The 14,397-nt window shown below is 34.6% G+C and overlaps 1 protein-coding gene across 5 annotated transcripts in view; it reads right to left on the bottom strand.

Moving 5' to 3' along the window:
• FAM83B (family with sequence similarity 83 member B) overlaps window positions 1-14,397 on the bottom strand; it is a 98,897-nt gene that overhangs the window by 17,956 nt on the left and 66,544 nt on the right. For all 5 annotated transcript variants that reach the window (XM_017010478.2, XM_006715022.4, NM_001010872.3 and 2 more), the window contains exon 3: window positions 609-773. In XM_017010478.2, coding sequence (XP_016865967.1) covers window positions 609-773 — 165 coding nt within the window. The remainder of the gene's footprint in view (window positions 1-608; window positions 774-14,397) is intronic.

Raw genomic sequence — 14,397 nt, 5'->3', positions numbered from 1 at the left:
CAATACATGCTGAACCATAGAAGCACCAGAGTCACTGGTTTCAAAGCTGTGCATGCAAAACTGATGTATTAAATATTAATCAGGAAAAGCACAATATAAAACCCTCATGAAGGCCGGGCACGGTGGCTCACATCTGTAATCCCAGCACTTTGGGAGGCCACTTTGGGTGGATCACGAGGTCAGGAGTTCAAGACCAGCCTGGCCAAGATGGTGAAACCCCGTCTCTACTAAAAATACAAAAAAAATTAGCTGGGCATGGTGGCGGGCACCTGTAATCCCAGCTACTCGAGAGGCTGAGGCAGGAGAATTGCTTGACCTGGGAGGCGGAGGTAGCAGTGAGCTGAGAATGCACCAGTGCACTCCACTCTGGGAGGGAGAGCAAGACTCCGTCTCAAAAACAAACAAACAAACACTCCCATGAAGATGTGCTTTCAGTTGCATTCTAAAAAGTACAGGGGACCTTTCTGTGATCAATCATTCCATAACCTTAAATACGTATTTTTTTTTGTTTTTCAGTTTTATATTCATCTACCTTAAGATGCCTTACATTTGACTGAGTTGAAAATGACACATAAAATACTTGAGGAAAAAAAAAACAGAATTCTTACCCTGAGACGCTGAACTGAACAACCTTGTTTCTCAGTCATATTTAGAAAATGATTAAAATTGGACTCATCAAGCAGAATGTAAACAGATACTCCTCGAGTTGATGCCTCAACGATTTCTTTGAAAATGTCCACATCTGTAAATATATCCATCACTAAAGCAATGACCTGTTAAATATAAGAATATGAAACAATTTTAGATCCTTGATAGAGAAAGATTTAAGAAATTGCTTACTTTCAGTAAAGGTCAGATAAAATTTTAAAAATTAAATACATATATGTATGTATATACAAATATTCATTTCATTTTCTAAAACAGAAGATAAAACCATATTAAAATAAGCAAATAACTATATGCAGATTTGTACACTAAGTCATTTTCATATTAGCTTTAATTTAAAGGAAATCTGCATTTCAGTAGGATTTTGAAAAATGGGCAAATCCAAATCATGGATTTCAAGACTGCCTGTAAGGTAGACAAACAGGACAAGGTGGAAACCAGTGTTACAATTTTTCTAAGAGGCATTTCCAGGGGAAAGTAGGATTTTTTTGAACCAGTCATTAAGAATAAAAGTCTTGGGGAACTGAGACAGAGAAAAAAATATTCTAGAAATAGAAATATACCTAGGAAAGGATGAAAGATGGAGAAAGAGTATAAGATGACTTGAAGACCAAAAAATTAAATATACAGTTGTTCCTCAGTTTACTGGGGGAATGGTTCCAGGACCTCTGCATATACCAAAATCTGCACATACTCAAGTCACAGTCAGCCCTGAAGAACCCACGTATATGGAAAGCAGGACCTCCATATATGTGAGTTTCACACCCCTTAAATACTGGAGTATTTTATACATGTTTGGTTGAAAAAAATCTGCAAAAAGTGGATTGAAGCAGTTCACACCCATGTTGTTTAAGGGCCAGCTGTACTTGCCTAAAATTACTTTAGCAGATAAAATAAGCAAAAGAAAAAAGTGAATTAAAAAGGTGATATAATTTAGAAGGAAAATGCCCTAAAGAACAGGTCCCTAAGATGTAGAGTCTGTGTTGATTGTTGGAATGAAAGTAAAATAATGCTAGCAGAAGGGGAAAAATCATTTAAGTGGCTGTCCACCTTCTATGTGCCAGGCATATTTATTGACCACCTACTATGGGCCATGCAAGAAGAACAAAATCCTGCCCTTATGAAGCTTACATTCTAGTGGGGGAAGACATAATAAGTAATAAAGATAATAAATAAGTCAATTATATAACAAGCTATAGGTTTTTTGGAAAAAAAAGAGCAGAATAGGGGATCATGGGTTCCTGGAAATTCAGGAGGAGTTTGGGGGTTTCGGGGAAGGTCTCTCTGAGACAGTGTCCTTTGAATAGAATTTAAAGGAAATGACATTATCCACATTGATATCTTCAAGAAGACTGTTGCAGGCAGAGGAAACCAGCAACTTTGCTCTGGCAATCCAAAAAACAGAAACGAGATAGCAGGAATGAAATGAGAATGGGAGAGTTATCACAATGTCTTAAAGTCACTAAAAGCCTTCAGTATCTTTTTTTCTGAATAAGACTGTAAGCTATTAAAGGGCTTTGAGTTGAAGTAATGAAATGATCTGGTTATGTTTTGAAAGGATTGTTCTGGCTACTGTGTTAAGAATAGGCTTTAAAAAAGGTAGCAAGGATGGAAACATGGAGGCCAGTTAGAACTACTGGTGCAAGTGAAGTGAGAGGTGACGGTGTGTAGGACCAAGATGGTAGTGTCAGGGATGAAAAGAGATAGCCAGATACTGGATATCTTTGAGTCCAAAGGTCTTGTGGATGGACTGACTGTAAGGTATGAGAGAAAAGGGAGAAAAAGTGAAGAAGACCAAGAATCAAGCCCTGGTACACTCCAAGTTAAGAAGTCTAATACCAGAAAAATTCCCAGCAAAGGAGACTGAGGAAACACAGGGCAGGTGGAATACTGAACACCAATAAAGACAGTGCATTTGTAAGAAGGAAGGTGAACTTGAGAGGTTCAAATCCTACTGCTAGGCCAAGAATAGTTTTAGTGGAGAAGGAACAGCAAAAGCCTCAGTGGAAGGCATTTAAGAGAGAATCGGGGCAGATACTAGATATAGAAGATACAGAAAACTATTTTTGTGTAATTTGGCTACAATAGGAAGCAGAGAAATTGAACAGTAGTTGGGGGTAGAGCTGAATCAAAAGAAGTTGTACTTTTTATTTTTTAATTGGCATAAAATTGTGTGTAATCATCATGTACAACATGATGTTAAGATAGAGACTCAATCTAGGTGTCCATCAACAGATGCACAAAGAAAATGTGGTGTGTGCGTGTGTGTGTGTGTGTGTGTGTGTGTGTATAAATGAATACTGTTTGACCATAAAAAGAATCCTATTTGTTACAACATGAATGAACCCGGAGGGCATTATTTTAAGTGAAATAAGGCAGACACAGAAAGACAAATACTGAGTGATGTCACTCATATGTAGAATCTAAAAATATTTTAAGGTGAGAGAAATAACGGTATGTCTTTATGCTAATGAAATGCTACAGTAAAGAGTAAAATTAATAGTGCAAGAGAAGGTGGGAGGTGAGGTGGAGAAGGGGAGAATTTCTGGAACAATATCTTTTAGTAGGCAATAAGGTATAGAGTCTAGTGCAAAAGTTAAAAAAAAAAAAAGAAAAAAGAAAATTATAGCACAGAAAGTAAAGTAAAGACTAGTAACTGGTCATCTATTATATGAAGCCAGAGGGCTAAGTATAAAGGTGCAGATGCTGCTGGGGGAGACAGCATGGCAGTGGTGCTGTGGATGTTCTCTTCTGAGTTCTTTGATTTTCTCAGTGTAGTGGGAAGCAAGGTCTTCAACTCAGAGTGAAGATTCCAGAAGACATTTTAGAGATCTGAGGAAAAGGGTACTATGTAGTCATCTAGGAGAGTAGAAAATAAAATAGACTAAGAAAATATAATATGATTGATGGTTAGCTTTAAGACTCACCAGGTCATAAATTTAATATGGGACCAGTCAATGTGGTTGTGAGTTATTCTTCAACGCTGTTTGGTGGCAAGCCTCTAGGAATGGAGTAGGCAGAGTCTGATTTAGCCATGGCTGTGGTTCTGCCATGAGTGTGTAACAAATTGAAAGAGGGCAGGGAGATTGAAGGTGTATATAATATGGAGTGGCTGAAATGATTGATCATGGGCTTTAAGTTTGATATAGAAAGGAGAGAAGATGTCATGAATGTGAGAGGCAGTGAAATGAAGGTAGGATAAATGAATTTTAGATCCTGCTGGCATTAAAGAACATTAGATATTAAAGGATTATTGTTAAAGATTGAATATATATCTTATCTTTAAAATATACATGTTAATATAGTTACAGATGAAAACATCACGCCTTATATTTACTTCCCATTATAATGGATGAAAAAAATGGCCGTGAATGATAATTGTTGAAGCTAGTTGGTTGTACATAAGGGCTCCATATACTATTCTTCCTACTTTTGAAAGTTTTTATAACATAAAGATTAAAAAATTAAAAACACAAGAGTATTTTTTACTAGCAGATACTAGAGATGGTAAGCCAAAAATAGAAGCAGAGGTGGTAGTCAGATGAATAATGTTGAAAAGAGTGACAGAGACCAGAAAACAAAAATTGTAAAGAAATGAGGGGGAATGGAATGACCTGAGAATAGGCAAATGGCAATATACAGCATAATGTAATGGATACATTGTGAATACCTTAGAAGATGAGCAAAGTTATGGATAATATATGAAATAATTTTATTTACGCTAATTACAGTGTTTAAACAAAATACTGGACCATGCTCGAATTTTATCTGTGATAACATTCTTCAAACTACCTGTGAAACATACTCCAATCAGATTTTCTCTAGAAAGAACAATTTCAATCATTCCAGTAGCTTCCCACAACCTTTTTCTTATTTATAAATGGTATGAGGAGCCAGATGAAGGGAGAAACCAGTGATAACAGTCTCATTCATGTTTGAGAATACTTTTCATAATGTCAAATATATAAAAAGTCTTAAAATCATACCCAAAATTATTAATTTAATGCATTAGCTATGCATTAATGAGGGGTGTAATGATATATAGGCATTAAGATTTTTAAAGTCCATATTTCACATTTATTTTATAAAATAACTTATAAAAACATATGTCTGGTGCAGTCTGGCACTAATTTTTTTAATCAGAATTTTTTGAATACAGAAACAGTATTGTACAACATGGTATTCTTTAATTAGCATATTTAAAAATTTATTTTTAATTTGCCAGATAGTCTGCATGTAACACATTACTTTAGACTTTGGAAGTGAACAAAAACACATTACTAGGATACATAAAGGATTTTGTTTGCAAAAAGTAATTGAAGTCACTCAGCCAATGGATGTTTCTGTCACACTAAATGCAGAACAAATGACAGTCTTTCTTGCATGACAAAATAATACGCTGGATCAGCATCCAGAAGACTAGATTATACATCTCTGACAAGCTTATCTGATGTCAACCAAGCCAGGTTGCTTTTCAGGGCTTCTGTTTCTTTGTACTCTCACTTGATGTGTGGAAAAATTACATGAAATCTACAGTAACTTCTAGCTATGCTGCAAAAGGCAAAATATAATGTAACTTTTTTTTTTAAATGATGGGTTACATTCCTGGGAAAGAATAATAATTAGAAATGAGGTATGCCAAATCTGATCTGAAATTATTACATGCTTGGTTAGTTATCAAAATTACACTGTGTTGCACACATGGCCACATGGCTATATATAATTGAAGAAAAATTATATGCCTGATTAGTATAAGGCTTTTCAAAAGGTACATCAATCTATTATATTAATCAAGAAACCAGTTCTATTAATTGGTGTTCATTAAACTACCATGACATTATATATTTCTTAAATTATGTACTTGCTTCTTCATTAATTCTTGTCATGAATTCACAATTCTTGCATTATAATTCGAAAAGGTAAATAAATAAATGCATTCATCGGAAACATGAGACTTAGAAAACTTTCAGAACGCTACCCCAGGTCATTTTTAAGATTTGAGTAAAACTTCACATCTTTTAGTATTAACGGTCTCCGAGAACCTGACCCAAGGACATTTTTCTTCACTTATCTTTCTTACAGTACTAAATTTTCCCAAAGTGACCCAGACCCCGGAGGACACCTACAGTATATATTACATATATAGTCAATGGATATTTTGATAAGTTCATATGCATTGCAAAATGTAAGGCCATTCAGGAAAGTACATAATCAAGTGTTAAGTAATACACGGGAATGGTAATTCAGAGAAAGAAAAAACAATAATCTATATGTACATGGTTGTAAAGGGGGGAATACAGTAGAATGAAAGAGACAACAGGTCTTCATGGATAAGCAGTAAATAATGAGCAAAATTATTTTTAGCCATCCAAGGTGAAAGGCTAGTACTGCAAAGATACAGAGGCAAAAGTAAAAAAGAAGATGAGGGTAATATTCTAACAAATGTTTATTGAATTAACATAAAGTTAAATACAAAGATCATTATGCTCACAAGCAAGGAATAAATTTAGTTAGACAGGATTTATACAGATTATGAAAGATCTTGAAAATATGATTCATTATTACATTTGGTCTGGAGACCAATATAAGTGCTAGAAAAGAGAATATCTAGTCAAAACAGTGTGTTGGGAAAATGTGTCTGATAGTAATACGCATACTGAAAATATCTAAGTTCTACTGAGTCATACAATTGCATAAGATTGTGAAGCCTTCTGTATGATTTTTATTGTAATTTAATAAATGCACCAAATAACCAAAAAGTGTGGTAGAAACCAGTGATAAGAAAAGTGAAAATAAATGACAGATTTCATAGAAAATATTCATTAGTGTTGACATTGAAAACTTGCATTTCCTTACAAATATGCTTCACTATTTTCAATATTTTATGTTAAAACCTACATTGTTTTTCCCTTTGAAGTCTATTATAATACAGAGCTATTAGCAATATGCTTTTGTATGACCTAGATACTTAATGAAATATAGGTGTACCTTGGGTTAATGTTCTTTAGTCACACAACTGTCACTATCACCCTCACAACTGAATATTATTCAGACTTCTTTTGTAATTGCCTAAATAGAGATAGGAGGATTTATTTTTTTCAGCAGAAGAAAAACTCATAGGGAGTTCTAATTTTGAAAAAACAGATTAATGGAGCTCTACAATAACATTATAACAAAATTCAACACAACTGAAAAACTTTTAAGAATTAAATAACAGATAAAGGGAAATGATCACTTAAGGGACATATATTTCCAAGTCTGTAAACCCTGTCAAAAACAATCTGCTAAATGATTTCAGAAAAAAAAAATGAGGCTGATATAAAGAAGTACCTTTGGCCCAAATCCTTCTATAGCCTAAGTAAGAGTATCCATTTTGCATGAAATTTATATATAATATACTGTGTGCACTATAGTATTGCTTAGTAACTTACAGCTTTACATTATGGATGTATTAATAATTTCTCAGATATTTAAGAATCTATCTTAACTGCTATATCTATATATCTACTGGTTTGGTCTGCCATAAATTAAGTGATTCTGGGAAAGTTACTGAAATGACTTTGAGTCTCACACACCTCTAAATATAATAAACAAATGAACCAGAGAATATCTTGCATGTACCCGGTTCCAAAAGTCTATGTTTTCAATAACCATTCATTCACTCCATATTATGATGGATAAAATAATATAAATAGACATAGACTTCAAGCACTATCATAAAAGAGTATTACAGGGTTTCATTTATATATATTAAAACATGAGAACTGAGTCACACTAGACATCTTGGCAACTTATTATTCAAAGTTGATTTATATATTACTAGGGGGATACAAACAAGACCTGAAACTTATAATCCTAATTATCTAGACTTTGTAAATAATGAGATCTCACTAGTTTTTAGCAATTGGATTAAAAGGTACATTGTACATAGCCTTTTACAAGTACATACATTGTACTTGCTTGGTGAAAGTGGGGGGAAAAATCTAGATTATTTTAATAAAAGTCAATTGGAAATGTAAAAGGCATGTTTGGGTTCTGTTACAGCAAAATTAATTTATAAAATGAATACTAGTGTATGGCAACTCAGAAGGGAATCTGCATACATTATTTTCCACATTATTTGCATCATATCATAGAACTGAAAATACTTAATACCACAAAAATAAATCACATTTTTACCTTTGTCCAATTTAAGGAAATCTTTATATCAGCTCTGTGCAAGTAGGCATCTTTGATTTTTAAAGGAACTTTTGCTCTAATAAGGAAATCTACAAGGAATTGGGAGGAATAAAGAATGAGGAGTAGGCCTAAAAGAAACTGCAAAGAAAAGCCATAGTTTTTTTTACTGATTTCAACAATTCAATAATCTTTCATGTTCTAACTTCCTCAGTACTTCCTGAAAAGTTACTTTTTTTGAAACTTGGTCTGGTAAGTGTCCCACGCATGGGCCCTCAAAGCCAAGATGTTGGAGGGTCAGGACAGAGTAATTAGTGGTGGAAAAATGAGCTCAAGACCCCTCAGCCTCTCCTATGTTAGAATAATCTAGCTCTGTGATCACACAAACAATGCACCTTACAAAGCAAAAGAGGAAGCTCTGCGGGGAGTTACACCATTTGAGGGGATGCTGGAAGACAGAGAGGAGGCAATGCCAAAGCATATTTAGTTCAACCAGAAAACAATTAAAATGCCCCCAACTTTCTGCAAAATCTAACTCTCAGTATGTCAGAAGGATGTTGATATGGTTTGACTGTGTCTCCATCCAAATCTCAGCTTGAATTGTAGTTCCCATAATCCCCATGTGTTGTGGGAGGGACTTGGTGGGAGGTAATTGAATCATGGGGGTGGTTACCTCCATGCTGTTCTTGTGATAGTGAATGAGTTCTCCCAAGATCTGATGGTTTTATAAGAGGCTTTCCCCCACTTCACTCTACACTTCTCCTAGTTGCTGCCATGTGAAGAGGACATGTTTGCTTTCCCTTCTGCCATGATTGTAAGTTTCCTGAGGCATCGCCAGCCCTGCAGAACTCTGAGTCAATTAAACCTCTTTCCTTTATAAATTACCCAGTCTGGGGTATTTCTTCATAGCAGTGTGAGAATGGACTAATACAGATGTTCTTTAAAATAAAGATGTGTGCTGTATTACTACAGAGTTAGAAATCCCAGTGTTTTCTGACTTGCTGCTATTGAAGGATCAGGGCCAGTTTTAGTAAATTCTGAAAATATTTGTAAAAATGTAAGGAGAAATAGATTTGAAATTAATAATAGACTTTACTAAGAAACTATGAAGCATTCATAATTTTTCAAAGTGTATGTTATAGTATTCTAATACTTCATTACCATAGAATCACTTCATTAGGAATGAGTATCAAAATACAATATTTATATATGACTATTTTCCTTCATTCTCAATTTTATTATTGAAATTGTCAAACCTACAGAAAAGTTGAAGGAATAATATGAGTATCTATAATCCATCACCAATATTTTTACATGTTAAAATTTTGTCATATTTAACTTTGCAGGTATTTATTAAGTGACACAGGATCAAAATTCAGAGTAAAAACAGATACATCTGATATGGCTATATTTTTTAACAAGAGTTAGAGAGAGGGCTTCGGGTGGATACGTAAGGCAACTTGCTAAAACAGAAGAATTTCTTATGAGACTTTTTAAGCCATGCATTAAAAGTAATAAACCTTTTTCTACTTAATTTCTTAATCGCTTACTATTAATTTTTCAATTTTGCACTATAACCGAATGTGTAATTGGTCATTTTCACTGGTGCTATTTAAAAGAAAACTTATTATGGAGAAAATGACTATTATAATAACTGTTACTTTAGATTATTAATTTGAACCAAGAAAAGCTCCTCAAAATTCTGACCAAGAAGGTAAAAATTCTGAACAAGAAGGCAAAAGGTAGGTCATATTTTTTTAAATTTTTCTCTGGCTTTGTTATTTTCACCAATCATGAATATAGGTATGCATTAAAGTGAGAAATGATTAAATTATTAATTTAATTATGTAAAGAAGACATTGGGAAGGGAACATTTAAAAGTGGAAATTTTTAAAAAATCACTTAAGTGAAAACTTTAGTTGTAAATAAAACCTCTGGGTTAGACTAAAACATATCTGATCTTTCTAAACACGTGTTTTGTAATTATTAAGTTAGTTAGATCTTTCCATAATTAACCACACAGCCTGAGAGTATTTACTCTGTTACACCTAGTTTCTAAGGTAGTTATAACTGATATATTTCAGGTATTCAATAAATTTTTGTTGGGATGCAGTGTCTACATGGCACCTGTTCTCAAAGAGTACACAGTATTGAGAGACTCATTCATAGAACTATAAATCATTGTGACATCTGCCATAAAATGTACATAACACAGTAGAACAAACTACTGTAAGGGAATAACTGTTTATGACTAAGAATTATGTGTCATCAGTACCTAGAGCCTACAGTGAGTGAGGCATCCCTGTGGATCTCATTTAATAAGGGAAATGAGACTGTCTTCTAAGAATTAAATGTCAACAAATGAAAGCACTGGCATTCAAAGTCCCTTAGCAGAGAGCAAGGTCTGCAAGATGTAATAATAGCCAGATGAAAGATAGCAACATAACATATAAAAGTAGATATTTCAGTAGAAAAATGTAGAAGTTGGTTCGTAAGTCATGCAAATAGAGTCAAAGAGACAAATACTGCCCACATTCATCTGTGTACTATCCAGAAGAGAGGAGGGGTATCGAAAAGCATGAACTTGATCTTTGTATAATATTGGCTAGGTATATTTGGTTTGGTAATGGCATCTGAGCCAGATGCGTTTTAAACATCCTATTAGCTCCTCTTGTTCTGATTTTATAGCCTTCAAATATATTGGGATTTAGTGTGTATATTGCCACAAAGGAGACTGAGCCAGTTGGAAAACACAAATCTGCTAGGATATTGAGCACTTACAATTGGCACTATAAAATGAAATTATTTTGTCAGACATCCGTGTTCCAAGCTTAGTCAATACGAGCGTGTGAATCAGGCTTTTAATTCTTAAGTGTAAGGTTCAGAATCTAGATTTTGGCAAAGTGATTAAAGAAAAAAAAATTCTCCCTGAGACCTCTTGGTAGGTAACTTTTTCTCAGTAATGTAATTATCCATGGTCCCGAGATAGCTATTATCTTATTTTGTACTTTAGTGATATAAAAGGGTGTCTGTCATGAAAAAAGAAGTGAAGGGCACTGCAGGCAGAAAGAGAAAGAGGGAGGACGGAGTAAAAATCCCTCTGCATAAGGAAAATTGTAAAATAGTGCATGAATAGTGCATGAAGAGGAGTTTGGGGAATAGGAGCAGAAGCTTTAGGAAGGTTCAGCGGCAAAGCAGCACTACAGCAGAAACAGCTAGAGGCCCAGTTTTGTTGGGAAATGGAATTCTACTAAGAAAGAGATGGCGATAAAGCTAGAAAGATTGTAATGGTAAATTTGGTCAATTGTGGAGGGAAGTCGTTGAATGCTAGGCTAACTATGGATTCTATAAGGCACAACAGTGAACCATTCATAACTTTATAGTCAAAGAATCACATGATTAAAACAATACCTGAGAAAATTAACGTGTTTGTATACATAGGATGAGTTAGAAATGTGAGTTTCTTTTTTTTTTTTTTTTTTTTTTTTTGAGACGGAGTCTCGCTCTGTCGCCCAGGCCGGACTGCGGACTGCAGTGGCGCAATCTCGGCTCACTGCAAGCTCCGCTTCCCGGGTTCACGCCATTCTCCTGCCTCAGCCTCCCGAGTAGCTGGGACTACAGGCGCCCGCCACCGCGCCCGGCTAATTTTTTGTATTTTTAGTAGAGACGGGGTTTCACCTTGTTAGCCAGGATGGTCTCGATCTCCTGACCTCATGATCCACCCGCCTCGGCCTCCCAAAGTGCTGGGATTACAGGCGTGAGCCACCGCGCCCGGCCAGAAATGTGAGTTTCTACCAGTAGGTAGAGGAGTTAGGGGTTTTCAGTCCTAGTCTAGCATGAGATGCCAACGTGGATGGCGAAAGCAGGAATAAAAGGGTTGGAGGTAAAGTTGTAAAGGATGATGTGACAAGACTCATTGGCTAATTGCTTCTAACGGACAACAGAGAAAGGATAGACAGAAATCTCTAGGGTGTAGAGACCTAAATTACATGGAGAATTACTGTAGCATTATAAGAAAACTTAAAATTCAAAAGTAGTATTTCATTTTTGTGTATAAAGAAAGCCATCAGACTAAGTCAAAACAATATGATAAAAAGTTGTGTTACTTTTTAATCTACCTGCCATTCATCCATCTATCCATCCACACATCTACCCATCTAACTATCTATGCTTTTTTTTTTTAACTATAGAAACTCGGGAATTTTTATGCATAAAAACAGGTGGGTGAACATCAAAAGAATAAAATAGGAAAGAGGTGATTTGCTTGATGATAGAAGATATCAGTGGCATCACAATGATATGGTATAAGCACAAGAGAAAAAGTCTGCCTTAGAATTAAGTTATACAAATATGCTAAAACTGTAGGGAAGAAGAAAATGAAAAGGCATATTTTGGTGGTGAACAGGACACAAAGGAGAAATGGGAACCAGAGTAGGGGACTGTCACTTGATGCTGTTAACATACCCTTCATGACTGGGGAGGTAAAGTTTTCCTCTGGGTGCAGTCAGTGAGGGCTCAGATTGTGGGCTTGCCAGGAAGTGAAAAAGATCAGAATAGCTGCTTAGAGAAATACAATAACAGTTTATGAGAAATTTTTAAAGGGTTGGCAGAGTTCAGTGAGAGCCCAATTGAGATTCAAAAATGTAAACTTGAAGTTGACATTTTTTACAAATGTTTTAGACATTTTCCAGCAATGCCCAACAACCCTGGAGTGAAAGCAAAGGCAGCAGGAAGTGGGTTTGACTCAGGATTAGGGGTTCCTCAGGTTAATAGAGAGATGGGTTCTGACACAAATGACCAAACAGCATCCAAAGAGACTGATGGATGGATAAGAAGAATGTGAAGAGACCAGAAATCAGCATAAGAAAAAAATTCAAATTCATTGGGTTTGATGAAAAGTGACCTCTAGGGTGAGACAGAATGTAAGTGCTAGGTTCAATATAAAAATAAATAGGTTATTTTTTATTATGTCATGAAACTTGGCATTTCTAATATGTAACATAAACTTAAGGTTTTGTCCTTTCTAGCAGCAATGTTATACAACACATAATTCATGAATAAATTCTAGTTTTTCACAGTACTTTGCTGATGTTCACAGGAACACACCCATTGGTATCTTACGTTTAAAGACACCTAGAAAACAGAAAATATCCCACCACTATTTACCAAAAAAGGAGAGGGAAACTTATAGATTAAAAGATTACTAAGAGACATATCAACAAAATGCAATGTGTGGACCAGATCTTGTTTGGATTTCAACAAAACAACTGTAAAATGACATTTAGGTAACAATCAGGAAAAGATCAACACTGACTGGATATGTGATAATATTAATTATTATTTTTATTCTTTAGGTTTGATAATTACACATGGGGTATGTTTTCAAAAGCTTTTTTTTAAAAAAAAAAGACAATCACATTGAAACAATTCAGATGAAATTAAAAATATATGATGCATGAAATTTGCTTTAAGGTAATTCAGCAAGAGTGGGAGATACGAAGGAAGCAAAATTGACCACAAGTTGATAATTACTGAAACTGATTCTTCATATACATATGTTTGAAAACTTCCATAACAAGATGTTAAGTATTCAATAACCTATCTTAGCTTTTACTCTATCTTATTCCTCTTCTCATGGTTTTTTTTTCTATTTTTATCTCTCTTTAACTCGTATATAACATTCTTGCTAAATTTTCTCTTTTTATTTTTGTTCTCATTCTCCCAAAGTCACCTGTCAGTATTTCCTTTTCTTCCACAAGTGTCTGTCTCTGTATATCTATTTCAATCTGGGATCTGCCATTTTCTACTCGGGCAAACTGAGAGAAGAAAATTATCTCTGAGCCTCTATTTCCTCATCTATAAAATCAAATAAATACTTCCTGTCCCATGGGATTATTGCGAAAATTGAGATTATGAATACCAAGTTGTTAGAGCAGTAGCACATGGTAAGGAAGCATTAAATAGTGGCTATGAATAAAAATGTTGGTGACAATATAACTTGAAGAATAGAAACTGATAGTCCACATGTAAAGAGAAGATTGGTGAGGTGTTTCACATTTCTCAAGCCATTATTTTTAATTTATGTTGACCTTAACCAAATATTCTTCCAACAATTAACACAACAAATACAGCAAAACAAAACTTCCTATTCCCATTTTAAGAGGCTGCATTCTTTACTTGGGTGGTAATTGTTTCACTTTGATGTCAAGTATAAACAATTAACCTAGCATAAAAAATCAAATATACTGCAAAGGAAAAATATAGTCCTATTTATTTTTTAGTAATTTCCATTTGAGTAAAAAACTTAAATGTAAAGTAGTTATAGTCAAGTCATAAACTGGTAAAGTAGCAATTTTGTATTTAATGTAATATATTCCTACATCTGTACCCAATAGTCAATTTCTATCTACCTAATCTCCTGTTTATTTCACTCCACTATTCCTCATTCTTCTCTTGGATATTTTCACACCAATAGCTTCCGTAAATTATGCATTATTTTTCACTTTCAAGCCTGAAACTTGAAAGACAGCATACCTTTGGTGGTAGAAAACATTT

Source organism: Homo sapiens, chromosome 6, assembly GCF_000001405.40.
Source record: "Homo sapiens chromosome 6, GRCh38.p14 Primary Assembly".
NCBI lineage: Eukaryota > Metazoa > Chordata > Mammalia > Primates > Hominidae > Homo > Homo sapiens.
Note: the sequence above shows the minus strand (reverse complement) of the source record. Positions and strands in the feature narration are given on the sequence as shown.